This window comes from Homo sapiens, chromosome X (assembly GCF_000001405.40).
Source record: "Homo sapiens chromosome X, GRCh38.p14 Primary Assembly".
In the NCBI taxonomy this organism is placed as follows: domain Eukaryota; kingdom Metazoa; phylum Chordata; class Mammalia; order Primates; family Hominidae; genus Homo; species Homo sapiens.
The window spans coordinates 7,239,953-7,267,386 of record NC_000023.11 but is presented as its reverse complement, the minus strand read 5'-3'; the positions used below and the strand labels follow the sequence as shown (position 1 = coordinate 7,267,386).

Here is a 27,434-nt window from a genome sequence, read left to right as displayed (position 1 = left end):
TTCACCCATCATCCTTACGCTTTATTTTCTCTTCAGAGCATCCAGGTACTTCTCGATTACCATAGTAATGATAAAACTACTGATCTTCAAACTTATCTATAAGAATTACAGAGATGCATTCTCCTTCCTTGAGCATTGGACCTAGACTCTTCCATCTGGAGAAAGGTGTTGAGACACTCATACAATGCCCTAATCTTCTTCCAACTAATCCTCACTCGGACTAATCCTCACTCAATAAGTCTACCGCACTAGAGTAGATGGAAAAGATTCCCCCAACTGTTTATGAAGCATTCCAAAATTTAAAAGGTTGAGTTAGTTCTGTTTAAATTCAGCCTCTACTCTTTATTACCTGTGGAGCTTTGTTCATTCAAAGGATTTCAGCTTCAAAGTTTCTCCACAGTGAGACATCTATTTACCGACCTCATGAGGTTGTTATGTGGTGTGAAGGAAGCAATGGGTGTGGGAGGTGCACAAAACAATGTGTGTATCCACAGCACCTGACGTATAATTGGCAACCATTCCACGGTGTCCATTACACTTGAACATGTCCCATTATGTGTTACCATTTCTGCTGTGCACCTAAGTTGGATCTGTTTTGCATTGCAATGAAGACAGGGATGGCAAAACCGAAAGCTGTGATAATGGGATGACCCTACAGGGCACATACAGAGAGTTGGGTATCTCCAAGAAATTTATAATTCACTCCTTTATGCAAGAATAGCAAGGATTTCTGGCTAATTAAAGTGCATTCAGGATGACCCATCTCCTGAATTACTATACAGTGTATAACATATGGTGAGCTAATTATCCAGCTCTCTAATAATAGAAGCATCTCCCCCAGATAAATTTATCCCTGAATGAGTCAATTAGGGTGAGGGATTGTGGAGTGGATGGTTATACATTCTAAATCATCGCTCTCCTCAACTTGAAAATATGTGCTTGGAATCCCAGGCCACAAACTGGGTTTGACTAAGTGGACCTCATTTGCAAGAATCACAAACCAATGAAGCATCTTTGCCTTATGCCTCCTTGTCATTCATACCCTAATATTGCAAGCTAGCATCTCAGGAGCAAACCCTTGAGTATAAATCATATCAGTAACACAGTGTAGAGAAAGGCTATAAATTTTAGAAGTAGGAGTTTTAAATCATTTTCCTCACCACCTTTGACAGATGAACTGAGAAGCAGCTGTGTACAAATATATATATATATGTTAAAATATCTAAACAAGGCACCAGTTGTAACTGGAAATTTTTAAATTTGAAAGCATTTGAGTAAATTCCACTAATACTACCATTGCTTTGATCAGGCATTCCTTTTTCGGCTGCTGAATAACTCTACCTCCATTTCTCACAAAGGTGGTAAGACCTGGCTAAATTGCTCAGGATATTCTGGATAATGAAATAACACATATAAATGTGTCTTCAGACATTGAAAAAATGTTTTATGAACATGGTGGTGTCACCAATGTTAGGATTCTTTGGTAACATATCAAGGCCATTCTCTCAGGACCCTTGGATATTATATTTTGTGAATCAGATAACTAATCTAACACAGATAGACAGCTCTACCCAAGGATGATTGTAACAATGTGCTTTAAATCTTTGTATCTTCAGATAAAGTATGTAAGAAGCTGTTTGTGAATGTACACAGTGTACAAGATGCTAGCATTTTCACTAATATTAACCATGCTGTGAGTGCTCCAATGTGGACAATAGCCATCTACACTAGAATCACCTATTTTAAAGAAAAAATCCTTTTGTTGTAATTCAATAACCATCCCTTCAACTTTGGTGCTGCCAGAACATCTTAAATCTGTAGTTCTAAAAGAAAATCTCAGCTCTCTAATAATTAGAGATAATCAAGATTAACTTGTCAGGCTTCAATATCCTCATGATCAATAAATTTGTTTTGGTCCCCTCTCAAAATTATATACCCATTAAAATGACTTGTAATCATATGAATATTTATATACCTAATAGATTAAATAATTTCTGTCAAAATACATGTCATACAAGGTGATTCACCCTGGAAGCCAAGTATCATTTCTGACTATCCATTGTATAATGGACGCTGTATTAATCTCCACCTTGTCTCGTTTTGAGAGATTTGTGGTAGATGAAGACTGATATAAGGATGTCCAGCTTTCCCAGCAAATTTGATAAACAGCACACTGTTGTTTTCTGCCTTAAATAGGCCCAAGAGCGCCGCTCCATCTTGGAATGGCTGTGCTCCTGTTTATCAAACACAGTAAAGCTCACACACTAGGTAAGAGCATGGTCAATCATGTAGACTGTGACCCATTGATACATCATGAAATTAATTAGTTCCAAAACCAGATTATTACCAAAAAAAAAAAAAAAACAGAATAAAATGGGGTAGAAAATATTAGGGCAATCACCCTAGTAAGAGAAAGATCATTTCCATAAGCTTTTGTTTTAATCACATATCTATGTGCACCTTACTAGATGATGATATAACTGAATGATGTATCTTATAAAGTTCCAAAGCTTTTACATGAGATCACCTGTCAGCATCACCTTCTAGAAAAATCTAGGTGACAAATAACTGCAGTGTTTCTGCACAGTAGCCAAAGCTCATACATGTATATGAAACCCAGTGTTTCTTAGAGTGTCCTATGAAACACCCAGTTTAGAATGTCTTGAGAAGCTTATTAAAATGCTGATGCAAAGTCTCATTTGGAACTACTCTGTGACAGTCCCTAGAGTTCATCTTGGCCATCTTCAGCTGTAATAAGCACCTCTGGGGTTTTCCTTATGCAAAGTCTGAGGTATCACTTGTCTACCCCTGTAGTCCTGGACTCTCCCTTTTCCCTTCTTTGTCTACCTGCAGGAAGTCATAGTGATCCTACATTATACGCCACCATACACTAGGCTAGCAAAGGCCACCCTACAATGTACAGTTCTGAACCAAGCGCCATGCCCAGGAGGCAGGTGGTCAGCCCTGCAATGCCTGCATCTGGCTGTGTGGGCTGACCACGGGCACTAACTCTGCAGTATCTCTGTACAAATAATACTGGAAATAAATGTTCAGGAGTGTGACTGACAGCTTGAAGTCTTCCTTCCTCTCTTAGGAATTGCACGACATCCTTCACCATGCCATTTTGCTGTGAGCAGAATCCGAGAGGTTTCTGCAGTCTCTGGCACCTGGGTAAGACAGGCTGTCAGCATGGGCATGACATGATGGAGCTATGGTTACTCACAGATCCCAATGTTTACCAAGGACAGGCACCCAGACAACAGGCATATTGCCCAAGAACGACTCATAACCCCTCCAGCAAGTGCCTGTCAGCCCAAACCTGTGAAAATCATGACAAATAGCTCATGTCTTACCTGAATTCTGATAGATCTATAAATAGTTGCTTAAAGGACTTTTAGTGGCTATTATCCAACCCTGGGCAGAAAATTCTTTATTCTTTACATTAATACTTGCTGCTGCTGTACATGTATATCTCCTATAGCTTCCCTTGGAAATCAATTTCAATAATTTATCTCTTTGTAAATTAAATACATATGTGTGTAAAGCACACACACACATATATATACACAAACACACACACATATATACACACACATATTTACACATACATATATATATACACACACAAACGCAACACAACACCAAACTATAGATTTTCTTTACTCTATTTTTCTCTGATGAAAATATTAAAATACCAATAAGCAGTATACTTCACATCAATGCTTCAAGTACAGACATGCATCATATAGTGACAGGGATATGTTCTGAGAAATGTATCATTAAGCAATTTCATCATTCTGCAAACATCGTACAGTGCACTTACACAAGCCTAGATGGTATAGCCCACTGCACACCCAGGCTATATGGTAAAGCCTATTACTCCTAGGCTACAAACCTGCACCGCATGTGACTGTACTGAGTACTGCAGGCAACTGCAATGCAATGGCAAGTATTTATCTAGACATATGTACACATAGAAAAGGTACAGGAAAAAATACAGTATAAAAGATACAAACGTGGCCGGGCGTGGTGGCTCATGCCTGTAATCCCAGTACTTCGAGAGGCCGAGGCGGGTGGATCATTTGAGGTCAGGAGTTCGAGACCAGCCTGGTCAACATGGTGAAACCCTGTCTCTATTAAAAATACAAAAATTAGCTGGGCGTGGTGGCACACACCTGTAATCCCAGCTACTTCAGAGGCTGAGGCAGGAGAATCACTGAAACCCGGGAGGGGGAGATTGCAGTGAGCCGAGATCGCACCACTGCACCCCAGCCTGGGCAACAGAGCGAGACTCTATCTCAAAAAAACAAAAAAGATACAAACGTACAGCTGCATAAGGCAGCTCCATTATAATCTCATGGGACTTCTGTCATATACGTGGTCCATTGTTGACCAAAATGTTATTATGCGGTACATGTCTGCAATCCAAATTTTTATAATAAAATAGCCCCTTTAGTTTACACCTATCTATAACCTTGGGCAAATTCCTTCAACCTCCACTCACATAGCTGTAATATCAATTCTTTTTTAAAATTCCAAGGCTGGTGTTGATTTTTCTCCTGGTGTGCCTACCTTTTTTACTTACAAATGTCTGTTAAATATTAATTTGCCTAGAGTCTGCACTAACTAGATGTTTGCTCACATGTTCTTTTATTCTTTTGTTGCAGAGTCTGCCCTTTCTCTCCAGCTGTTCATGAGATTTCCATGGGGCTTTATTAAATGTCAGCAATTTCCAAATGCAGTCCTCTGTTCCAGGTTCACCCAAGCACTGCAACTTTTATCCCTCTGACATACTTAGCTTCTCATAAAATTTCATCTGAAATATTCCTCAGCTTTAAAACAAATTTGAAAATCACTGTTTGCAGTAGGAAAATCACTGCTATATGTTCAGCAAGGCCGTTTCATTTTCTTCTTCCTGAAGACATGGGGAGACTGCCTCTTAGCCCCATGTCAAGTCAGGGTGGAGACATGGGGCCTGGTCTACATGCTGACCCCTGGGTCAGTGAAGTAACAAAAAGCCCCCAAGGGACCCTTCAACTCTTTTCTCCTGTGGACGCTACTGGGAAGGCCATCTATTGAGATGACAGAACCACAAGATATTAGCAACCTGGATCCCTGAGTCTCCTCATGGAGCAAAGCTTCCCTAGAGCATCACCCAACCAGCAATAGATTTTGCATGGGCAAGAAACAAATCTTCAAGTGTTAATCCACTGAGATTTTGTCAGTCTTCACTGACAAAAACAGAAACTGGCAGCAGAAGTTGGATGTTAACCAAAATAAAAACTTAAATTGTGTGGTGCTCCCTCAGCCGTTGGGCAGCTAGTACATAGAATACTCTCTGGAGCCAAGTCCCAGAGGCTGAAACTGAGAATACTTAAAATGACCAATGACCAGTTTATATATTTCACAGTTCAATGACAATTTAGATTTTAACAAAATCTGTCAAAACTGAGAGGCGGTGTGAACTATAAGAACTAATCATTCTATTTGTGTCTCATTTTTAGAAGGAGGAAGTGATACTATCAATTGCAACTTTTGTGTAAGTCACTTCGTAGTCTGTTCAGACACCCAAACCATATGTGGGCTTCTGTCAGAGTTGATGAAACACTTTTGTGATACCAGAGAGATATACTAAAATACACCCTATGATTTATCTATTGCATAATCCGTGATGTTGTGGGTAGCAGGACACTGTTGTACCTCCAGGTGAATGGGTTGCTCCTATGCTGTTTCATAACTGGAAGAAGAGAGTGAGGAGAACCACTGCCCATTCCCAACCTCCAGTAAAGCATCAACTCCAGGCACACAAGATCTGGACAGAGGAACACAACATCTTCCATGTGAGGAAATGACAACATAATTTTCATAGAGTACGTTACCTTTTACCTTTCTCACCAGCCCTAACTTATGTAGCTTCCACATACCTTAACTATGTATTCTCTTCTTAGGCTGAGCATATTTGCTTGTTTTTAAATTAAATCCCTAATATAGTTTCCCTTCATCACAATAACTTCCTTTTCATTGTCATTCATTGTTCAATCCAGAGATTGATTTTACAATTTTGTGTCATGCAATTAATTGGATGACAAACCAATATTACCTATATTTCCTCTGTCTCCTTTATAATTTTTAAATCACCCTCCCAACTCTCTTTTACATCTCTCATAGAGTTTAAGTCACCATAAAGACCAAACGTCTGATTTTCAGATGAACTTTCCATTTCTCTTTAGAGTCCTGTTCTCCACAGTTACAAGTGGAACAAAATACTTTTATTTGCTTGTTTTGAATAGCAAGTGTTTTTGACATAGCCTCTATATAATATCTACTTAATTATATCTACTTATGCTCTCTATATTATGTATTATAATATAGATATATATTATACCTACCTATGTAATTCAGGAATGCTGTCTGCTCCACTGTTGATGGTTATTCCATTTACAGATTGCAATCCCCAAAACTATAAACTCAATGGGACCTGACAGACCCAAGAGACATCATTCACTTCACCCAGTTTACTCACAGAGGTTTTTGTTTTGTTTTGTTTGCTCAGAGATTAATCCAAAATATTTTGGATCTTTCCACATTGTTTATATCACAAGGACAACCTATAAACTAAACATAAGCCATTATCTTGCCTCTCTTGATGGCCACATTTGAAAATTAAAGACCAGTGGGGCTGGGTACTGTGGCTCACACCTGTAATCCCAGCACTTTGGGAGGCCGAGGTGGGTGGATCACCTGAGGTCAGGAGTTCAAAATGCAGACTGACCAAGTTTGTGAAACCCTGTCTCTACTAAAAATAGAAAAAAAATTAGCCAGGCATGGTGGCAGGCACCTGTAATCCCAGCTACTCAGAAGGCTAAGGCAGGAGAATCACTTGAACCTGGGAGGTGGAGGTTGCAGTGAGCCAAGATCGCACCACTTGCACTCCAGCCTGGGCGACACAGAGAGATTCCCTCTCAAACAAACAAACAAACAAAAAACCAGTGGGATATCTGACACCTCCTTTGTCATCAGCAGACATTAATTTGCCATGGGCCTTTCCAGCCCAGGATGTGGGGAATGTTGGCAAAGAGACTCTAAGGAGAGCACACTGCATTGCAATACCTTTCTAAGGCCATTAAACATGTGCTATGGCGAGCTCTGGCTGAAGAAATGTGTTAGGCATGGAAGGGAAAATGTGGCTAGCATAATAACCCTACCAGTTCTGGCTGGGCGTGGTGGCTCACGCCTGTAATCCCAGCACTTTGGGAGGCCGAGGCGGGCGGATCACGAGGTCAAGAGATCGAGACCATCCTGGCTAACACGGTGAAACCCCGTCTCTACTAAAAATACAAAAAATTAGCCAGGTGTGGTGGCGGGCGCCTATAGTTCCAGCTACTCAGGAGGCTGAGGCAGGAGAATGGCGTGAACTCGGGAGGCAGAGCTTGCAGTGAGCCGAGATCACGCCACTGCACTCCAGCCTGGGCGACAGAGCAAGACTCTGTCTCAAAAAAACGAACAAACCACAAACAACAACAACAACAAAACCCTGTTGGTTCTTCCACCTCCACGAGAAATAACCCAGAATGTTTTTTAACAGGCAGCATCAGAGGACAAGGCAATACCCACCGCTGTATGAACTGGGCCGCCTCCACCGTTAGCCTCTGGGTGAGATTGTCATAGGACATGGGCTGCTGAATGATCTCGTAGTTCCTCATCATGAAGCAGTTCAGGGGCCGGAAGTAATGAAGGAAGCCCAAGAAAAGGGTCAGGATTAGGGCTGCTAGGAAGAGAAGGCTGAAAAAAACGCCTAGAGGCACGTGGAGTAGCCCCAGACAATTGAGTGCAGCAAGGGTAAGGAGGGTGACCCCGACGATCTGCAGGGGGAGGAAGACCAGCCTCTTGAAGCCCGTGGTGAAGACACTGCCCTCTCCGGGCTTGCAGTCTCTCAGATTGGTCAAAGAGATCCCATAGAAATAATTGAAGCCGTGATGTAAAGGGTGGTGACAGAAGTCAGTCTTGCTGTGACAGCTCATCCCAAGGTGCCATTTCCCTGAGAAGACAAATGGGGGATCACTTCAGTCCCAATAAACACCCTGATTCCAATCCAAGCTTCTGTTCCTACATGCTGAAAAGGAGGTTCTTTCTGACTATTTCATGAAGCTAGCCTTCCCGCTCATAGGACCCTAGAATTTTTCACTTTTTTTTCCCCACAAACGCTAAGGTATTACCTACTCACTCTACCAGAAAATAAGAACTAATTTAGCGATTCCAACAAAACAAAACAAAAAAACAAACAAAATCTCAACCAGATAAAAATCCTCTACTCACTCTACCAAGAAATAAGAACTAATTTAGTGATTTCAACAAAACAACACAAAACAACAACAAAAAACCCCAATCAGATAAAAATCCAAAAAGAAAACTAGCTAATATCTTTAATAGGCAGGAAACCACACTCTACAGAAAAATACAAGTTTGTTTTTTTTTTTTTCTTTTTCCTGGTCAGATGCTTTTCTGAGACAGGCCCTTAAAATTAAAGTTTTAGAAGCAACTTAATTTTGTTCCTTGAATGTTAAAAGTGGAAACGAATCCTTACTTCAGAACCTACCCCTGAGGCATGAGGAAATCACACTCAGTAACTCAGCAATTATTTTAAGCACCTCTGAAAATTTCTTATAAAATGTTAATTAGATCACTAAATTAATGAGTGCCTCACAAAAGAAAAAAATGATAGTTTTTTAACAAGATGTTGGAAGAAAGAAAAGGGTCATTTTGCTCCTCTGAGATTTGCTAGGATTCATTTTATGGCCTGCTTAGATTCAAGCTCTTCATGCAAAAAGGAAGGTGTCAACCCTATCTACATGATAAAATCAGTGGGTGTGTCAACCAAGACAAATTCTGACATAATTTTATATTGGAAAGTAAAATGAAAATCTTTATCAATAGCATGGTGTGAATAGTTTTGTATATTCTTTCTATGTATATGTCTATCTTTCATTTGTTCCATCTATCATCTATTTCATCCATCCAATTGCCTCATTATCTATCTATCCATCCTATGTAATCTTTGTCTCTCTCCCTGCATCTATTTATATATAACATCTATCTATCTATCTATCTATCTATCTATCCAACCATCTATCATATCTATCATCATCTATTTCATCCATCCATCCATCTACCCCATCTATCTCATCTTTGTCCCTCTCTGCATCTATCTATCTATCTATCTCATCTTTGTCCCTCTCTGCATCTATCTATCTATCTATCTATCTATCTATCTATCTATCTATGTCTGTTTTTCTATTTCTCTATCTATCTAGCTAGCTAGCTAGCTAGCTATCATCTATTCCTTCCATCCATCCATCCATCCATCCATCCATCCATCCCATCTATCTCACCTTTGTCTCTCTCTGCATCTGTCTATCTAGCTAGCTAGCTATTTCTCTACCTATTATCTATCTATCCATCCATTCATCAATGCTTTCTTCCATCTATCCATTCATCCATCTATCATTAGGTATAACCTAAGTATCTATTTATCTATACACACATGCACACACACACACAAACACACAACACACACACACACACACATCTATACATTTGAGTAGTCCAGATAGGCTCATTGTGTTTTAACCTACAATTGAAATCATTTTGTTTCCATTTAAAGTTATGCAAAGTGTACCAGCAAAGTCATCCCTAAGATAACTGTCATGATGTCCTCTCCCACTCTTTTGCTAACTTTGTCCAAGTCCTCCCTCCCATTCCCATACCTATAGATGGTTCCCATCCCATAGATGTCCATACCTATCAGTGCTGTTGAATAACCTTGATCCTTCAGAAGCTTAGCAAAGGTAATCTCATCGGTGGGAAGTCCTCCCGAAGAGGCTGTGAAGAGGAAAACTCCAGTGCGGGACCAAGATGCCATTCCTGGACCAGGAAAAAATCAACCCTTAGGAACCAGGAGATACCTCGAGGTGGGAGACTGTCCCGAAGGTGACCACAGCCCCTGCGATGCAGATAGGAGGTTACCTGATCGGACAGGGTACCGGCCAGTCATGAAGGCTGCCCTGCTTGGTGTGCACAGCGGTGATGCTGCCAGGTGCTGAGTGAGTTTCACTCCCCCACTGGCCAACCGGTCGATATTGGGAGTCCTAGAACAAAAGAATCATAGCATTTGTGATCATTTTCATTTATTGTTCATGTATTTAGTTTTGAGACAGGATCTCACTCTGTCACCCAGGCTGGAGTGCAGTGGCGCAATCTCGGCTCACACTACCACGCCTGGCTAATTTTTGCATTTTTTGGTAGAGGCAGGGTTTCACCATGTTGGCCAGGCTGGTCTCAAACTCCTGACCTCAAGTGATCTGCCCGCCTCAGCCTCCCAAATTGCTGGGATTACAGGCGTGAGCCACTGTGCCCAGCTCTGTGATAATTTTCAAAATGAAACTGTCTATGGCTCTTTATACTGGGAAACTTCTCAATGAGCAAAGGCAAGTCTGGGGTTATGTGGGAAAGAGAGGCGAGATGAGAGGCAGGGGAGGTGGGGAAGAAGTGATACAGAATCAAGACTCAAGCTACAACAAAACCATGCAGATGTGTGAATGATGCAGGCGGGACATCCCCAAAAGGTCCATTCATGTTACAGAGGGCTCTGAGCTCCTGGTCCCACTAGCCCTGAATTAGAAGAGAGAAACCAAGTCTTTGAAATAGGATACTGCAGGGAGGGAAAGTAAGGGGTGAATGAGGATGAGGCTTCACTCTTCTCCGATCCACATCTCCTAAGTTACCTCTGTGTCACCAAAAGAGAAATCTCCAGGGTCAATCTGACTCCCCTCTCTTTCCAACCACAGCCAAAGGGAATCCCACAACCAGCTTTAATGAGCCCCTGCCTAATTTCTACATGCCCCCAGGGACAGGGAATAATCAGACTCCATGTGCCTCAACCAGTGAGCATCAATAAATGGGTTAATACGCTCCAGGGAAAAGGCACAAACACTACAGTGAAGAAATTAGATGCTGCGACCCCCACATACCCTTTGCTGGCTTATATTTTTTATGCTTCATAAATACTTATTTATGAGCTCACTTGTAGAGTGATACCTTTAGCCTTTCTCTATGAATGGATTGGCTGAACATTTTGGGAAGTCATTTAGGAATTAATATCTTTTAGTTTTTGGACCATACCAAGTTATACCCCACAAGATATATCCACGTCCTTCACCAGGAATCCAGGTCCATTCCTCCCTGCCTGGCTTGTCATCTGCCATCCTTCAGTTCCAGGTACAGATGGAATTCTCATGGGCCTCCAGTGCCCTTCCTTGTTTATGCAAGGGGATTGACCTATATTTGGAACAGTAGTCCATACTCCACCAGACAAGCAGCTTCTTCACTGTAAAGCAATGGCATGGCTAATTGTGCTCCCCTTCAAGATGGCTGCCTGTAGGGTGGGAGTATACATCTTGTTCATTGGTCCCATGGCTTCCCTAGATCAGTGCCCTCACAGAGTAGTGCTGCAATGATGCATAGCTTGAAGGGGGAAATAATTTTATTGCATCTGTAATGTCAAACTAGTGACCATTTATTAATTTAGTGAATGTGTTTAATTACCAATATTTCTAATTTGCTTTTTTCTTAAAGGGTGAGATGCTTAGAAGACAGAGACTGTTTTTACATTTGAATTAATCTTCCTAGTGTCTATAGTGGCCTACAAAAAAAAGTGACTATTTTGGGGTGTGATATTACAAAATATAAAAATGAAAAATGTAATTCAGAAATAATGGGACTCTAATACAGAGACCAAGGCAGATTTAGGGTATATATTGCCATGAATTCTTCCATGGGGCTTTATAGACATTTTTTCTTTTGATAATTGGTAAAGATTTAACCTCAAAGGCTTGATTTTAACTTTTTAATTAAGACATCTTGGTAGGAACAGTTATCTACTATCTCAATATATCTTAGGAATACATAATATTAAAGAAACAGATAAAATGAAAAAGCTGAATAAAATTATGATGCTGATAAGAAAAACTAAATTAATAAGATCTATATCACAAATGTATAAAGTGATCTGTAAACATTTTACAAAAGTAGGCAAAAGGTGGGGCAGAAAACATACAAAGATAATTACAATTTTAAGAGGACATTTAAAGTGCTCTCTTAAAATTGCAGATCTTACCCTTGCATATGCTTTTTAAAATTTAAGCAATGTCATAAGTCAATATACTCTTAAAAAAATAAAAAGCAACATTTGATGCAAAGTTTCAGATTGAAAGTGAGACATATTTGGCTATGTCTTGTGGGAAAGATTTTCCTTAATATCATAATCTATTTAATTTTTGTTTGGTCTGATATGCAATGATTAAATATACTGTCCAAGATTTCTCATGTTAAAAAGAAGATGAGGAGTAAGAGAATGGAAGGAAAATAACCAGCGCCCCATGGCACTTGGCAATGGGTCCATTCCTGGCTTCAGGTATTTAGTATTCACATATCCTACAAGAAAGTTCTGGGCCGGCGCAGTGGCTCATGCCTGTAACCCCAGCACTTTGGGAGGCCGAGGCAGGTGGATCACGAGGTCAGGAGTTTGAGACCAGCCTGGCCAACATAGTGAAACCCCATCTCTTCAAAAAATACAAAAAATTAGCCAGGCATGGTGGCGCACACCTGTAGTCCCAGCTACTCAAGAGGCTGAGGCAGGAAAATTGCTTCAACCTAGTAGGCAGAGATTGCAGTGATCCCCGAGATCGTGCCACCACACTCCAGGCTGGGCGACAGAGTGAAACTCCTTCTCAAAAAAAAAAAAAAAAAAAAAAGAAGAAGAAAAAAAGAAAAAAGAAAGTTCTGGTAGAAGCAAATAATCTCTTTCCTCATCCTCTCCTTTAATTCAGTTTGTATTGATCTTTCATGTGATGAAGCTCTCCATAGAACTATTTTTATGCCATCATCTCCACATTATTAGGAAGAGAAAGTGAAATTTTAATGTCAGTATTCTACTCCCCAAGGGCTTACTTTCCTTTTTAAACAAAAGGGTCCTTAAAATAGGTCTTATGTTAGGTTGATTTTACGCAGAGGGAGAGAAACAAAACACCCACTTCTGGGAGGATGTTCAGACCCAAGGGTCAAATGACCTCGAGTCTCGTTTGATTGCCTTGTTGCCACTGTTTTGATAATTACTGGCAAGTTATGAGGTCCTAAAACATGATACCTCTCCTGATTGTCAGCTATGGTCTCGATGTTTGTGTCCCCCCCAGATTCAGATGTTGAAATGCTCACCCTCAATGGGATTTTATTAGGAGGTGGGGTCTTTGGGAGGTGATGAGGTCATGAGGATGAAGCCCTGTAAATGGGATTTATGACCTTATAAAAGGGACCCAGAGAGCTCCCTCCCCCCTTCCACCATGTGAAGACACAGTGAGAAGGTTCTGTCTATGAACCAGGAAGCACGTCCCCACCAGACGCTGAATCTGCTATGCCTTGATCTTGGGCTTCCAGCCTCCAGAACTATGAGCAATACATTTCTATTGTTTAGAAGCCACCCAGCCTATGGCATTTTGTCATAGCAGCCTTTACAGACTAAGACAGCCTGCATAGCTGACGACAGGGTAGGGCCTGGGCTAGAAGAGGGAGAGTTGGGCATGAGTGAGAGTGAGAGTGAGAGTAAGTCACTGATGAGCCAGGACAGAGTAGTACAGACCCATAACCAACCAGAATAAAGCCAGATGCCAAAAGGAGAAGACGAAATAGGTGAACAAAAGGGATGGAAATGTGAATGTGTGGAAAGCAGCATCGTAGCCATTAGTAAAGAAGAACTGTGATGCACACCTTCTTAGTGATCTCCCTGAGCTCATCCAGCTCCCTGTTCATAGTCAAACAGATAAACTCACACCTGCCTTCATGACACCTACATCTCAGTGTATCTACATGAAGCCAGGCATGGTTTGGAGGGTTTTGAACGTTTCTACATGTTCTGTGCTCTGTAGATCAACAATAACCATCCCGGGGACTGTTGCCTATGAATACAGCCATGTGTTTACTGAGGAGCTGCATTACCAACCTGATAGTTTTGTTCCCATAGCACCCAGGATCTCCAATGCCGAGGTCGTCAGCCATCACCAGGATGATGTTCGGCCTTGATGCTGCGTGGCTCTCGGCTTCCCACAGAAAGAACAGTAGGAGGAAAGGGATCTTCATCTTCCTGTAAAGGACAAGGACACAAAAAGGAACTGAAGGATGTCAGCTTGAGACAAGGTTTTGCTCTGTTGCCCAGGCTGGGGTGAGGTGGTAGGATCTTAGCTCACTGCAACCTTGAAGTCCTGGGTTTAAGCGATCCTCCTGTCTCAGCCTCCCAAGTACCTGGGACTATAGGCATGTGTCACCACACCCAGCTAATTTTTGTGGATTTTGTAAAGATAAGGTCTTGTTATGTTGCCCAGGCTGGTCTTGAACTTCTGGGCTCAAACAATCCTCCTGCCACACCCTTGCAAAGTGCTGATTACAGGCCTGAACGACTGTGCCTGTCCTGGTTTAGTAGCTTTCTAAGGGAAACACAGAAACCTTTCAAAACTCAAAGTGTATGGGGTCAACAGCCTGGGGCAGCTCTTTGTGCTGGAAAATGTACAGAGGGAAGAGAATTCATCCATCGTCCATGTCTGCCATCCCAACACGCTCTCACCTCACTGCATTTCATTCCTTGTAAGAATAACAGGTGATGGAATCTTTGGGGAGGATGGTGGCTTGAACACACACATGATGTCTTTCTTGTATGGAGGTCTGTGTACGTGTTCCAGCAACCTGCTTCCTTTGAGTTAGACCCCTTCTTGTTGAGGAGGACGTGGGCTTTCTACTTCATTTTGCTGTTTGCCTCTCTTCTCACTCTTGAGGTTTTGCTGCCCCACCCTGCAACAGGTTCTCCATTTAGAACCGGAGCTTATGTTGGCAGCAAATATGAGGAGGTTGCTCAACAGGTTTCCCAGCCAGAGAGAGGCCTGGCTTGGTTCCCCGGAAGGTAGCAGGTAGGTGTGCAGTGTGGTAGCCTGAGGTCTTACTTACTCAATATCGATGTCCTTCTAGTCTTCCCACCAGCAGTGGTAGGCAACACCTCTCCCAGCAACTGGTTCACAGCCTTGAGCCAGGTTCTTACTCTCAAATACTTCCAGAACCAAGTCTCTGTGGCTCTGACCCTGACATCAGGAGACAAAACTCACTACTTTCTCTTTCTGTTTCTCATCTGCCTGGGGAGAAATTTTTATACTTTATTTTTCTCACTGGCCCGGGGAGAAATTTTATGACCTTTATTCTAGGTGGGGGAGTCAGGGGTAGGTGTTAATCATATCAGTTCTCTGAATCTTAGTTTTCTTAACTGTAAAGTGAAAGAAATTGAACAATTTCTTTGTTCTATTAAGTAATTTTATTTTTATTTAAAAAAATTTGAGACAGGGTTCTGGCTCTGTTGCCCAGGTTAGAGTGCAGTGGTGTGATTATAACTCACTGCAGCCTCCAACTCCTGGGCTCAAGCGATTCTCCCATCTCAGCCTCCTGAGCAGCTAGAATTACAGGTGCACACTGCCATGCCTGGGTAATATTTTTATTTTTATTTTTTAGAGACAAGGGTCTTACTATGTTACCCAAACTGGTCTTGAACTTTTGGGTTCAAGTGATCCTCCCATGTCAGTCTCCTGAGTAGCTGGGATGATGGTGAGGACCAATTTTATTTACTTTTAATTTTTAAAAATGTTTATAGATTTAGGGGGTACAGCGCAGGTGTCTTACGTGCATGTGTAGTGGTGGAGTCTGGGCTTTTAGTTTACCTATCTGTTCTCTCCTGACACTGGACCCTCATTGCCGTGTATCTGGGAGCACTGACAGTCCTTCAGCGTGTGAACTGGCATGTGAGCTTGACCTCACTCTGCATCTATTTTTGCACTCACACCAGCCTTGGTGCATGCAGACAGCTCCCCCAGAGTCACTAAGGACACTGGACATCAAGGCCAGTGCACATGGTGTGGCAGAGTCTCTTCCCTGGCTTTCCAGCAACACCTGTCAGAGTGAGCCATTCCCTTGCTCAGGAATGCACTGCTCTTTGAACATACTCTCTGAGTTTCCTATTGTGTCTCTCTTTCTGCAGAGTCTCTGTTTGCTGGTTCTTCCTCATTCATGGACCTCAGAATCAGGAACACAACCCCACATAATTACAGAGGCTGGATGGGGGATGGGAAATGGCCTGGGTTTAGTCATCAATATGGGGAGGGGCTTTGCCAGCCAAGAGCTTGCACCCCTCCTAAAGAATGTCACCCTTGTAGCAGCTTCCAATTTTTAAAGAGAAGACAGACACACAGATTTGCATGTGCAGTTGTATGACCATCAATTTAATAATTTAAACAAATGTGTAGGCTAACTTGGTGCAAAATACTCAAAGAAACAATCAAACAACGACTAAACATATTTCCTGGCCTGGTGCCACTTCTGAGTGTCCACTGTCCAGTCTGCACTTTAAATGTTGTGAGCCTCAAGACACTTTCTGCTTTCCTCATCTCCTCCCTACCTTTATGAAATACATATGCTGTCTTGGTGAGATTAAATACTGAATGAATGCTTAGAAACACCTAAGTTTTATGTCCAGAGAGACTGTATATCCAAATACTGAATTAAGGTCTCCATACAGACATATATCTGGTATCTTGAATTTAACATGTTCAAACAGATATCATGAATGTAAAAAGCACCCTGCTATTATTACGTGAAACCATTTTTGCCATTTAGTCTAAAGGCCCTCAATTCGGCTTAATCTGCTAAATGCTAAATACAGATAAAGCTGATGCAAAGTAACTTCTTACTGAATTCCTCACATAAGACTGCATGAAATAATCCAGTTATACAATGCCATCACAACAAAAACCTTGTCTATCTTAATGCTTAAGCTAATATTTATGCTTGGAAAGAAATGAGAAATTGCCTATTTCTTTCTTTCTTTCTTTCTTTTTTTTTTTTAAAGCATGGTTTAAGACTATGGTCTTTATACAACCAAAATCTGGCATGAACTTAAAGGCTGGCTTGAGAGCAAATCACAACATTCAGATAATATAATTTCAGTTCAAAAAGGTCTTGCAAATCATGTATCCCAATTCTCTTATTGTCAGATGGAGAAACAAAGACTCAGAGAGATTGGCTGGTCATGGTGGCTCACACCTATAATCCCAGTGCTTTGGGAGGCCGAGCAGGGAGGACTGGGGGAGCTCAGGAGTTGGAGACCAGCCTGGGAAATATGTAAGTTCCTATCTCTACAAAAAAATTTAAAAATTTTCTCGGCATGGTGGTGCACGTCTGTAGTTCCGGCTACTCGAGAGGCTGAGGCAGGAGAATTGCTTGAGCCCAGGGGTTCGAGACTACAGTGAGCTCTGATGGCGCCACTGTACTCTGGCCTAGTTGACAGAGTGAGACTCTCTCTAATTAATTAACCAATTAAATAAATAAAGAATACAGACTTTCTACAACCAAAACGTGGCATGAATATAAAGCCTGGCTTGAGATCATATAACAACATTCATATAATATTCAGGTAATACAGTATCGGTTAGAAAAGACCAGGCAAATCATGTATCCCAATTCTCTTACTTTTAGAAGGGAAAACAAAGACCCAGAGAGATTCAATGAATTGCCCTAGTCATACTCATAGCAAGCTGTGGTATCTAGACTAGCACCCAGGACTCCCTATGGCTCTTCTCTCTCAGATTGTCCCTGGAACCCAGTATTTCTAGGGCTTTTCAGCATTCCACATGGTGGAGACTTCAGTGCTTTTCTAATTACTCGAGCAGTTCCCTTGGCTACTGAATAATGCCTGTCATTTCCCAGGGCTCTGTAGTGATGCCTCCTGTTCCTGCTGATAGAAACAGGTCCTGTCTAAAGGACCTCACAACCACTGCCTACCCAGTCTGAGTCCCACCACTGGTGGCTGATGATAAGGATACTGAGCTCCATCTCATGGGCTCTGGGGTTTAACACTGCTAAAGCCCCTACTGCTGCCAGCTGGCTGGCTCCTGCACTGGTTGCTCCTGAAGCTGCCAGCTATATGCTGCTGATGCCCTAAGCTCCTAATATTCCATGTAGATTTCAGTAAAAGCACACTTCACTTTTTCCCCCTTGGATTAACCTACTACTGCTTGGAACCTGAGAATTAGGTAGACTTCCCTGTTGAGTGATTGATGGACATGGGTCTGAATGTCAACCAATTTCTCTAATGCAGGCTCCCTGGCTATGGCCCATACTGCTTCTCGGCCTGAACTTGGAAGGAATTCCTTCCCAAAAGGCTTTTTTATCTGAGTAAAACACACTTCTGTGGGGCTCCTACCTTAGGTCCCGAAGACATACATGTCTGTATCTTGGATAGAATACACCTTGGGCATAGGTTGGGCTGACAACTATAAATGCATGCTATATGCCAATTATCTCTATAAAAATAAGCCTTGCTCCCATTAAAAATGGGTGGTAGATTATTATTTTTTTTAAATAAGTACTCAATCCCAGGGGAATTGGGAATAATTATTTAATAGATACAGAGTTTCAGTTTTGCAAGATGAAAAGAATTCTAGAGATGGATAGTGGTGATGGCTGCAAAACAGTGTGAACATACTTAATGCCACTTAAAAATGGTTAAGATGGAAAATTTTATGTTATGTGTATTTTGCCACAATTATAAATAGTAATAAATCTTAAAAAAACAAGAAAAATTCTTATAATGTTAAATTTGAAATGGAAATATTAAAATGAACTTATTAGTTAAAATAACGCAATCCTTTCTCTGACCCACCGGTATTGAGTGAGGCCATGTATCCTGCATTGGCCTTATAGAGACCACAGTATACTTGTTCAGCCTTGATTTGGAGCTCAACCATGTGATTTGTCTTAGCCAATGGGATGCTATCAGATGTGAGGGAAACAGAAACGTTATGCTTGCATGTTTAGCTTGGTCCTGTTGTACTTTTGCCATCACCACAAGAAGCTCTTTCTCTAGTATGTGCTACCTCCCTTTCAGCCTGAGCCCCAGAGTAAATGCATTGTAGCAGACACAGCCCAACAGACAGCCTGGAGCTTGTTTGTTTCAGCCAACAGACAAACCAATGAAAATATACACTGTTGTGTTAATCTGTTGAGCTTGGAAGAGAATTGGTACATGACATTATTGTGGCAACAATTCACTAAGACACTATATTATCTGAATTGACAGTTTGCAAAGACAGACAAAGGGTATGCACTGCAAATGATAGAATATACATAATTAGGGTCTGGAGAAAATCAATAACATTTTGAAGTAGAATTTTTTTGGTTTGTTTTCATGTGTGTTCACCTTGCCTTCCCATTAGGTATTTATAATCCCTCAATTTTCTTTTGCAGTTCTCCCCCATGGCCCTGCGAGTGAATAAATATTCACTAAATTACTTAATTGAGCCTTAGTAAAGGAGTACACACAAATGCAAATTAGCCAGGATAATGGGTTCCATTACAGGTCATGAATTGCATTAAATCAGGATTTCTCAACCTCTGCACTATTGACATTTGGGGACGGATGATTTGTTAGTGTAGGGGCCTGTCCTGTGCATTGCAGGATATTCAGCACATCTCAAGCCTCTACCCACTACATGCCAGTAGCATGTATAACTCCCCTCAGTTATGAGATCCAAAGATGTCTCCAGACTCTACCAGCCATTGCTGGGAGAAAGGGAGACAAAAATTTCTCCTGCTTGAATAGTACTCTATTACAGCAAAAGAGGAAGCTGGTGTGAGAGAGTAGACATCCAGTAATGAGAGAGAAGTCACTGTCAACTACATAGCTCTTAGCTCCAAGAGAAGTATATTTTCTTACAACATCCTATACAGTTGTTCCATGCAATCATCAACTCTATGTTCGTGCAGCTGCACTCTTAGAATGTGAAGTATTTTGAGAAGCATGATATTTTTTAAAGAAGACAGAGTAAATGTGGGAAGCTATGTGACTGGCAGTCCGGGGGTACTTCCTTCACACATGACACTACTAATCATAGTCAATCACCTCTCTCTCTCCTGATCCACTCAATTCTCCTTATCTACATTGAGTTGGTACTTTTGTTATTCAGTTAGATTCCTAAGCTTTGCAAAGTGATTGAGTGATTGACTATCTTACTCTTATTTATTCAAATAAATAGGGCAAAAGAGTTTTTTGTTTGTTTTATTTTAAGTCTCTTCACTTTTATCTCCTTGGGAGACTTAAATCCATGGGACTAATCCTAGAATTCAAGGATGTGTTCGATGGTCACATTCACTTTCTATGATAGAGGAAAATGTTTACATGAAAACACACACACACACATACACACACACACATATTTGCTATATTTATTCAGCTTAGCTCTGTCATTAACTATTACCATAGAATTATTTTATGTGACACACTTATGTCTTATTTATAATTTATGACATTTATTTGACATGAATTCTATACAAAGTCTGAAGTGAAATGATTTAGTCCCTGGCGTAGGCCTTGCATCTTCTCTCTTTTAAAATAGGCCAGAAATAAAACTACCCCTTATCTCATCATAAAATTATTATTTTGCAGCTAAAGATATGTAATGGCTTCATGCTGGCCTAAGACACAGACTGAGAGTGTAACTAATGGATCATTTCCTTCCCGGGTGAGAATTATCATCCCCTGAACATCATTAACATAAAATCCCATGCAATACCCTGCTACCTTCCTTGCAGACTGTGAACACTGTGCTGGGCAGGACCTGCAGCTAAGTTGAAAGTCTCTCCCAGGGCCGGGCGCGGTGGCTCACGCCTGTAATCCCAGCACTTTGGGAGGCCGAGGCGGGCGGATCACGATGTCAGGAGATCGAGACCATCCTGGCTAACACGGTGAAACCCCATCTCTACTAAAAATCCAAAAAAAAAAATTAGCCGGGTGTGGTGGCGGGTACCTGTAATCCCAGCTACTCGGGAGGCTGAGGCAGGAGAATGGCGCGAACCTGGGAGGCAGAGCTTGCAGTGAGCCGAGATCGCGCCACTGCACTCCAGCCTGAGCGACAGAGCGAGACTCCGTCTCACTGCACTCCAGCCTGAGCGACAGAGCGAGACTCTGTCTCAAAAAAAAAAAAAAAAAGTCTCTCCCAAATCTTAACTCCTTAAACACAAACTTGGTAACAAAGAGCGAACAATGGCTTATCTTGTGAACGGGTTTTTTTACGGCTAGGCTCAAGATGATGTGTGCTCTAACAAATGTTCTTTTTATTCGAAACACTATCCCTTTCTTGGAACAGCTGTTTTGAGACAATTCTTCATTGCGTTCAACATCTGTTAACTCTTTGGCTGGCAAATCCAGGCTCCAGCCCCACATCCGTGACAGAGAAATTGCAAATATGAGCAAATATATCTATACAAGTACTACATGCTTGTGTTTAAATAGCTAGGTGGGTGTAATAAAAGGTGAACTCTCCTACCTTCAACACCACGATTGTAACAATGGACCTCATATTGGAGTGAGGTGCGGAAAGGCTGAAGAATGAGAGGAGGGCAGAGATAATTTGGAGAGGCCAATCTTCAGCCCCCATCCCCAGCTTTCATGTGACTTATCTAGGGACACCCTCTAAGATTCCTTGCATGGGAGGAAGTTCCCCTTTTCTTATCACTGTGCATTTCTTTCTCAGCACTGATGATACAAGCAAGTGCAGTTTGAGTTATTTTGCGTTTAATCTTCCCTGCTGCACTGGAAGCATTCTGCAGCCAGGAAGAAGTCTAAATGCCTCCTGGCTATATCCCTAGCATCCTCTCTCATGCTTCGCACACATTAAATAGTCAAGATTTGTGGACTAGGCAAATGAATAAATAATGACAGAGAAGGGTTGTAAATCTGAGATCAGATGATTGTTCCCCTTCCTAATTAGACTGTAGACACCATGTGAGCAGGGGCTGGTTGAGCAAGTATCAAAGAAAGCCACATTAAATCAAAAATGTATGTTTATTCTGTTTAATTAAAAGGCCCTCATGCCAGTTCAACCAGAGAGGAAATTAAGCAGGGCCATGCACTATTTTTTTAAATGGCTGGAAGGTTTTACGGGGCACAGAGAAGATTCAAAAATTAGCATCCGTCTTTAAATATGAAGAGTGAGACACACTAGAGGTTTTTAAGAAAACTGAAAACACCATTAATAATGCCCACGAAAAGCTCAGGGTTGGAGCATCAGGGGTCCCTAAGTAGATTTAATGGCTTACAAATCCATAACTAATACCAGGAATTTGCAAAAGAGTGAGTTTAATAACCTCCTGTCCCCATAAGAGTGCAACATATAGCATTCATATCAGAGAAGGCCAGAGCCAGCAGGCTGTGTTCTGCATCTCTACTTCATTACTAGGTTCATGTTTCAGTTGATACAGGAAATAAATACATAACTTTTCTTATTTTAAAATAACAGTTTTTTGGGTGCTTAGTATGTACCAAGCACTGTAACTGCTTTACCTACTTCTTAACCAATTTCTCCTGTGTGAAAAAATAACATGAGAACATGTTTTTATCATGAGTTGATATTTGACTTAGGGACCTCAGATTTTGTTAATAGTGTTTCTCAGCCTCAACACTATTGACATGTGGACTGGATGAGTCTTTATTGGTGGGGAGGGGGCTGTTCTGTGCATTGTAAGATGCTTAGCACCATCCCTGGCCTCTACCCACTAAACCCCGACAGGATGCTGTCCCCAACTTCTCTGTTCTCCCCTAGTTGTGAAATAACAAATGTCCTCCAGATATTGCCAAATGTCCTCTGGGGAACACAACTGTCCCCAGCTGAAACCACCAACTTAGTGCTAGCATGTTACCCGCCCTATCATCTGTAGAATTTTCACCTCCTGAACATAACAGAATTGCAATTCATTCCCTCTGCTCCTGTATGTAGGCAGATCGGCATCTACCAAAGGATTTGGAAATGCCAAACCATTTGAGTAGGTGTAAATTTCTCATTTGCACCCACAAGTACATCTTCGGTGTTAACAGACAATGTTTCTCGGGTATAACATACTTCCGCAAATTATGGAAGCTCTTAAATTCTAATGCACATAGGCAACCATCTCCAAAAAGGCTCTTCAAGGAAAACATTAGGCTGCAAGCATTCCTTCTTCTCATGCCTTCTAAGTTGCTTATTTTGTCATTTGTCCATGTGGCAAATCTTTTGCTACCTTACATTTTTATCAGGAGTTACACTCTGCACAACAGCATCATGCTCCTTGCCTGTCTGAACCCCAGTCAAAGAATCCTTACTCCTACACATTAGTCATTGGGAGCCATACTCTTCTTCTTTTTTTCTTAGACAGAGTCTCACTCTGTTGCCCAGGTTGGAGTGTAGTGGTGTGATCTCGACTCACTGCAACCTCTGCCGCCCGGGTTCAAGCAATTATCCTGCCTTAGCCTCCTGATTAGCTGGGATTACAGGTGCCTGCCACCTCAGCTGGCTAATCTTTTTTTGTTGTTGTTAGTAGAAATGGTGTTTCGCCATGTTGGCCAGGCTGGTCTCGAACTCCTGATCTCAAGTGATCCACCTGCCTCGGCCTCCCAAAGTGCTGGGATTATAGGCGTGAGACACAGCTCCCAGCCTGGGAAACATAAAATTCTCTCTCTCTCCCCTGACCTACTTCCAATAGTCCTCTCACCTCCCTCCCTTTTCGGGGTCTCCCCTTTTCATAAAAAGCAAACGCAGATCACCACGATTCTTCCTGAAAGATAACCAACCCAGGGAATGTGATAGTCTCTGTTTGTTTTTGTTACAGCTACCCTCTCATTCCTAACTCTCCTTAATTCTCTTTTTGCTGGCTTTTATTCTCTGCTTGTCAAGAACTAGCAGAATGAGAGGAGAAATAAGAGTCAGAGCTCTGGCCTCATCTCAGGCCACCAGCCATGAGGCTTTAGAAGGCATGTTCTCCTTGTGAATCACTCTTCTGCACATTACCCTAAGATGTCACCTTGACCATGGGGGAGTTACTCAGGATACTAGCGATAAAAGGTTTCCAAAATGCGACCAGATGCAGTAGATTACACCTGCAATCCCAGCAGTTTGGGAGGCTAAGGTAGGAGGATTGCTTGAGCTCAGGAGTTCAAGACCAGCTGCAGGAACATAGCAAGATCCCATCTCTACAAAGAATGTAAAAATTAGCTGGGTGTGGTGGCACATGCCTGTAGTCCCAGCTAATCAGGAGGCTGAGGCAGAAGGATGGCCTGAGCCCAGGAGTTTGAGGCTGCAGTGAGCTATGATTGCGCCACTGTACTCCACTCTGGGCGACAGAGTAAGACCCTGCCCTATCCAACCCCAAAAGAGGTTTCCAAAATAATAAAGTGCTAGACAAATGTAACTTGTTAGGAGCATTTTAGTCTAGCTACACCTTTCCAGTGGAAAGCAATTCACTGAGAATTCAACCGAATCTATTTCAATTCCACAAATACAGGGCAAAACCCAGAAAGATGACATTATAGCAGTCCTATGGTGGTTCTATGATTGTATGAGACACACAGTCACCCTGCAAGACTCTGACAGGTCAAATGAGGAAATGCACAAGTACCAAACCCACTAAGGTGGGCAGTGGAGTCAGAACTGCAGTTTATGCTGTTGAGGTTTTCTTTCTTTCTCCCCCACTTGCTAGCAGTGAAACCACAAGCTATATATTTAGCCTGTTAGTTTTCTTTTCTGTAAGAAAGGAATAATAATACCTTACAAGTATTATTTTGAAGATAAAACTACACACTTAGGACCTTTTTATTTTTATTAATTAATTTATTTATTTTGAGACAGGGTCTCACTGTTTCACCCAGGCTGGAGTGCAGTGGCGTGATCACGGCTCACTGCAGCCTCAACCTCCCGGGCTCAAGCAATCCTGCCACCTCAGCCTCCCAAGTAGCCGGGATTACAAGGGCACACCACCATGACCAGCTAATTTTTAATTTTTTTTTTTTATAGAGACAGGGTCTCTCCTTCTGGGTTCTTAGTACTTATTGATTCAGCAAGGGAATCATAGTAAGAGGCCATAGTTGTTCATTATAGTTATTTAATAATATTAAGTTATTATTAACTTATAAAGTTATTATTAAAATTACAACTATTAATAATAATAAAATGTTATGTAGAGTATAATAAGTACACTAATAGAGTTTTGAACAAAAATGTGGTCAGCCAACTAAAAGTGGCCCCAGTGACTTCCCTTCTGGTATTCACATCTGATACAATCGCCTCCTGTTGAGTATGGGCTGGACCTAGTGATTTACTTCCAATGAGTAGGATATGGAAAAAGTGATGAGATGTCAATTCTGTGATTGGGTTGTAAAAGACTATGACCTCTATCTTGCTGGCAAACTCTATCGCTTGCTGGCTGTGGATGAAGTAAGTGGCCATTGTGGAGAGACCCATGTTATAAGAAAAAGAGAGAAGTGTCCAGCCAACAGCCAGCAAAAAAAAATGAGGCTTTCAGGTGAACATCCTGCAAGGAACTAAGTCCTGCCTGCAACTATCTGAATGAGCTTGGAAAGAGATCCTGCTACTTTTGGACCACAGATGAGACCACAGCCATGACACCTGAAGTAGCCTGAAAGAGACGTAGAAGCTAAGGAGGATCCAGCTAAGCTGTGCCCAGATTTTTGACCTACAGAAACAATGAGATAACAAACGCAAGTTGCTTTAAGCTGCTAAGTTTTGGGGTAATTTGTTACACAGTAGTAGATAACTCCAATAGCTTGAGGTGAGAAGGTCAATTTTGTCAATGAGGACGAGAAAAAAGCTCCCCAGGACAGCGGCTCTGAAATGTCATGTTGAACTTATTTTAAGAACATGTTTCATTAGTAATGAGTCTCAGAATTTATATAAGCAATTTAAGGACACATGTCTCTGCTCAGCAACCATGTAAAAATGAATTTTTGTTTTATAACTGAAAGTTGAAAGCACCTGAATTAGAAAAGGGCATTTAGGGTAGACCAAAGGGAAATGGCTAAAAAAGAGATTAAATAGAGCAAAATTCAGGCTCTATATGAGGACTAACTAAAATCTCACCAAAAAAACCTAGCTATTTAGAGACCTACTTTGGACTATTATGCTTTGTGATTTTTGTACACAAAAATTGATTTTTTTAAATAAATGTTTTGTTGTATTTTTACTATTATAAATGTACAAAAGAGAAACATCAACCAGCCACTCAGAGAGCCACTCAGGTAATATGTGTGTTTCTCTCCATGTTCTTTGTTTTTTATCATTATTGTATAAGTTGCTGATGTTGCAGTATTCCTACAAACTGTGCGCATTGGTTGGTTGGTTATTTTTTCCATGCAAAAGTCTGACTGTGAGGTGGAGAAGAGGTCAGGATAAATCATCGTGATCAGACATGGAGGGCATTTATCTTTTTCCTTTCTGTTGTTTTAGGTTTGGGGCATTTATCTTTATCCAGAAGTGATGAAGCAGAGATTGAGGACACTAGGGATGACAGGCATGGTTTCGTTTCACTCCCGCAGGCATTCTGGTTGCTCCCTGGCAGAAGGGTTGGGCAGAAACTGGAGTGGATCGCACGACAATGGCCATAACCCCCCAAGGAAGCTGGTCCAGACTAGCACAGGGGCAGGTGGGAGAGAACTGGAGAGAACTGAGCCGATTTGAGACACAATCAACATGAGCTGGTAATTGCCTGGATGTGAAGTGTCAGAAAGAGGCAACAGTCAATGATGACTTCAGCCTTGTTCCTTGGAAAGATACTGGTCCCATTAGCTGGGTAGGGAACAATTAAAAATACTGGAGGATTAAGATTATGAATTTGTTCCACACCAAGATGCCATCATAGAAGGGATCCATTTTATATATATATATATATATACACACACACACACACACACACACACACACACACACACACATACATATCTGTGTGTGTGTGTGTGTGTGCGCGCGCGCTCCTTGGAGAAGATTCATTTCCATTTTCTATGCTTTGTGGTAAAAGGGTTAGTTCAGGTGCAGACCATTTTATTGAAATTGAACACAATAGGATAAAAGCCCATTAATAATTTTTCATGCCTATATTAATCTCTGAATCACAAAATGATTTTGGTTAGCTCAGCATATCATTCATTATACCTCCAAAATGTGCCTGGAGGTAGATATTATCAGGACTAGGATGAGAAATACCATCTAGCCCAATTAAGAATGTGTGAAAATTTAAGTTTGTTAAGAGCCACTTAAGGCTGGTCAGGGTGGCTCACACCTGTAATCTCAGCAATTTGGGAGGTCAAGGCAGGTGGATCACTTGAGACCAGCCTGGTCAACATGGTGAAACCGTGTCTCTACTAAAAGTACAAAAAATCTGCCGGGCGTGGTGGTGCTTGCCTGTAGTCCCAGCTACTCGGGAGGCTGAGGCAGGAGAATCGCTTGAGCCTGGGAGGCGGAGGTTGCAGTGAGCCG

General features: G+C 41.6%; 1 protein-coding gene across 7 annotated transcripts in view, besides 2 other annotated features; it reads right to left on the bottom strand.

Annotated features, from left to right (window-relative positions):
- Positions 1-27,434, bottom strand: part of STS (steroid sulfatase) — a 207,352-nt gene that overhangs the window by 87,255 nt on the left and 92,663 nt on the right. For 4 of the 7 annotated variants that reach the window (NM_001320750.3, NM_001320751.2, NM_001320752.2 and 1 more), the window contains 4 exons: positions 14,051-14,191; positions 10,024-10,145; positions 9,799-9,921; positions 7,615-8,038 (listed from right to left, as the gene is read on the bottom strand). In NM_001320750.3, coding sequence (NP_001307679.1) covers positions 7,615-8,038; positions 9,799-9,921; positions 10,024-10,145; positions 14,051-14,191 — 810 coding nt within the window. Of the gene's footprint in view, positions 1-7,614; positions 8,039-9,798; positions 9,922-10,023; positions 10,146-14,050; positions 14,192-14,668; positions 14,915-15,045; positions 15,144-27,434 lie in introns of those variants that run through there. The other 3 variants (XM_047442107.1, NM_001320753.2, NM_001320754.2) reach the window with 3 other exon arrangements.
- Positions 21,505-21,799: an enhancer, noted in NCBI's record as "tiled region #5189; K562 Activating DNase matched - State 9:DNaseU". NCBI's record gives its function as "activates a minimal TATA promoter and a strong SV40 promoter by Sharpr-MPRA in K562 cells {active_cell/tissue: K562}" and the evidence as "EXISTENCE:reporter gene assay evidence [ECO:0000049][PMID:27701403]".
- Positions 21,505-21,799: a silencer, noted in NCBI's record as "tiled region #5189; HepG2 Repressive non-DNase unmatched - State 24:Quies". NCBI's record gives its function as "represses a minimal TATA promoter and a strong SV40 promoter by Sharpr-MPRA in HepG2 cells {active_cell/tissue: HepG2}" and the evidence as "EXISTENCE:reporter gene assay evidence [ECO:0000049][PMID:27701403]".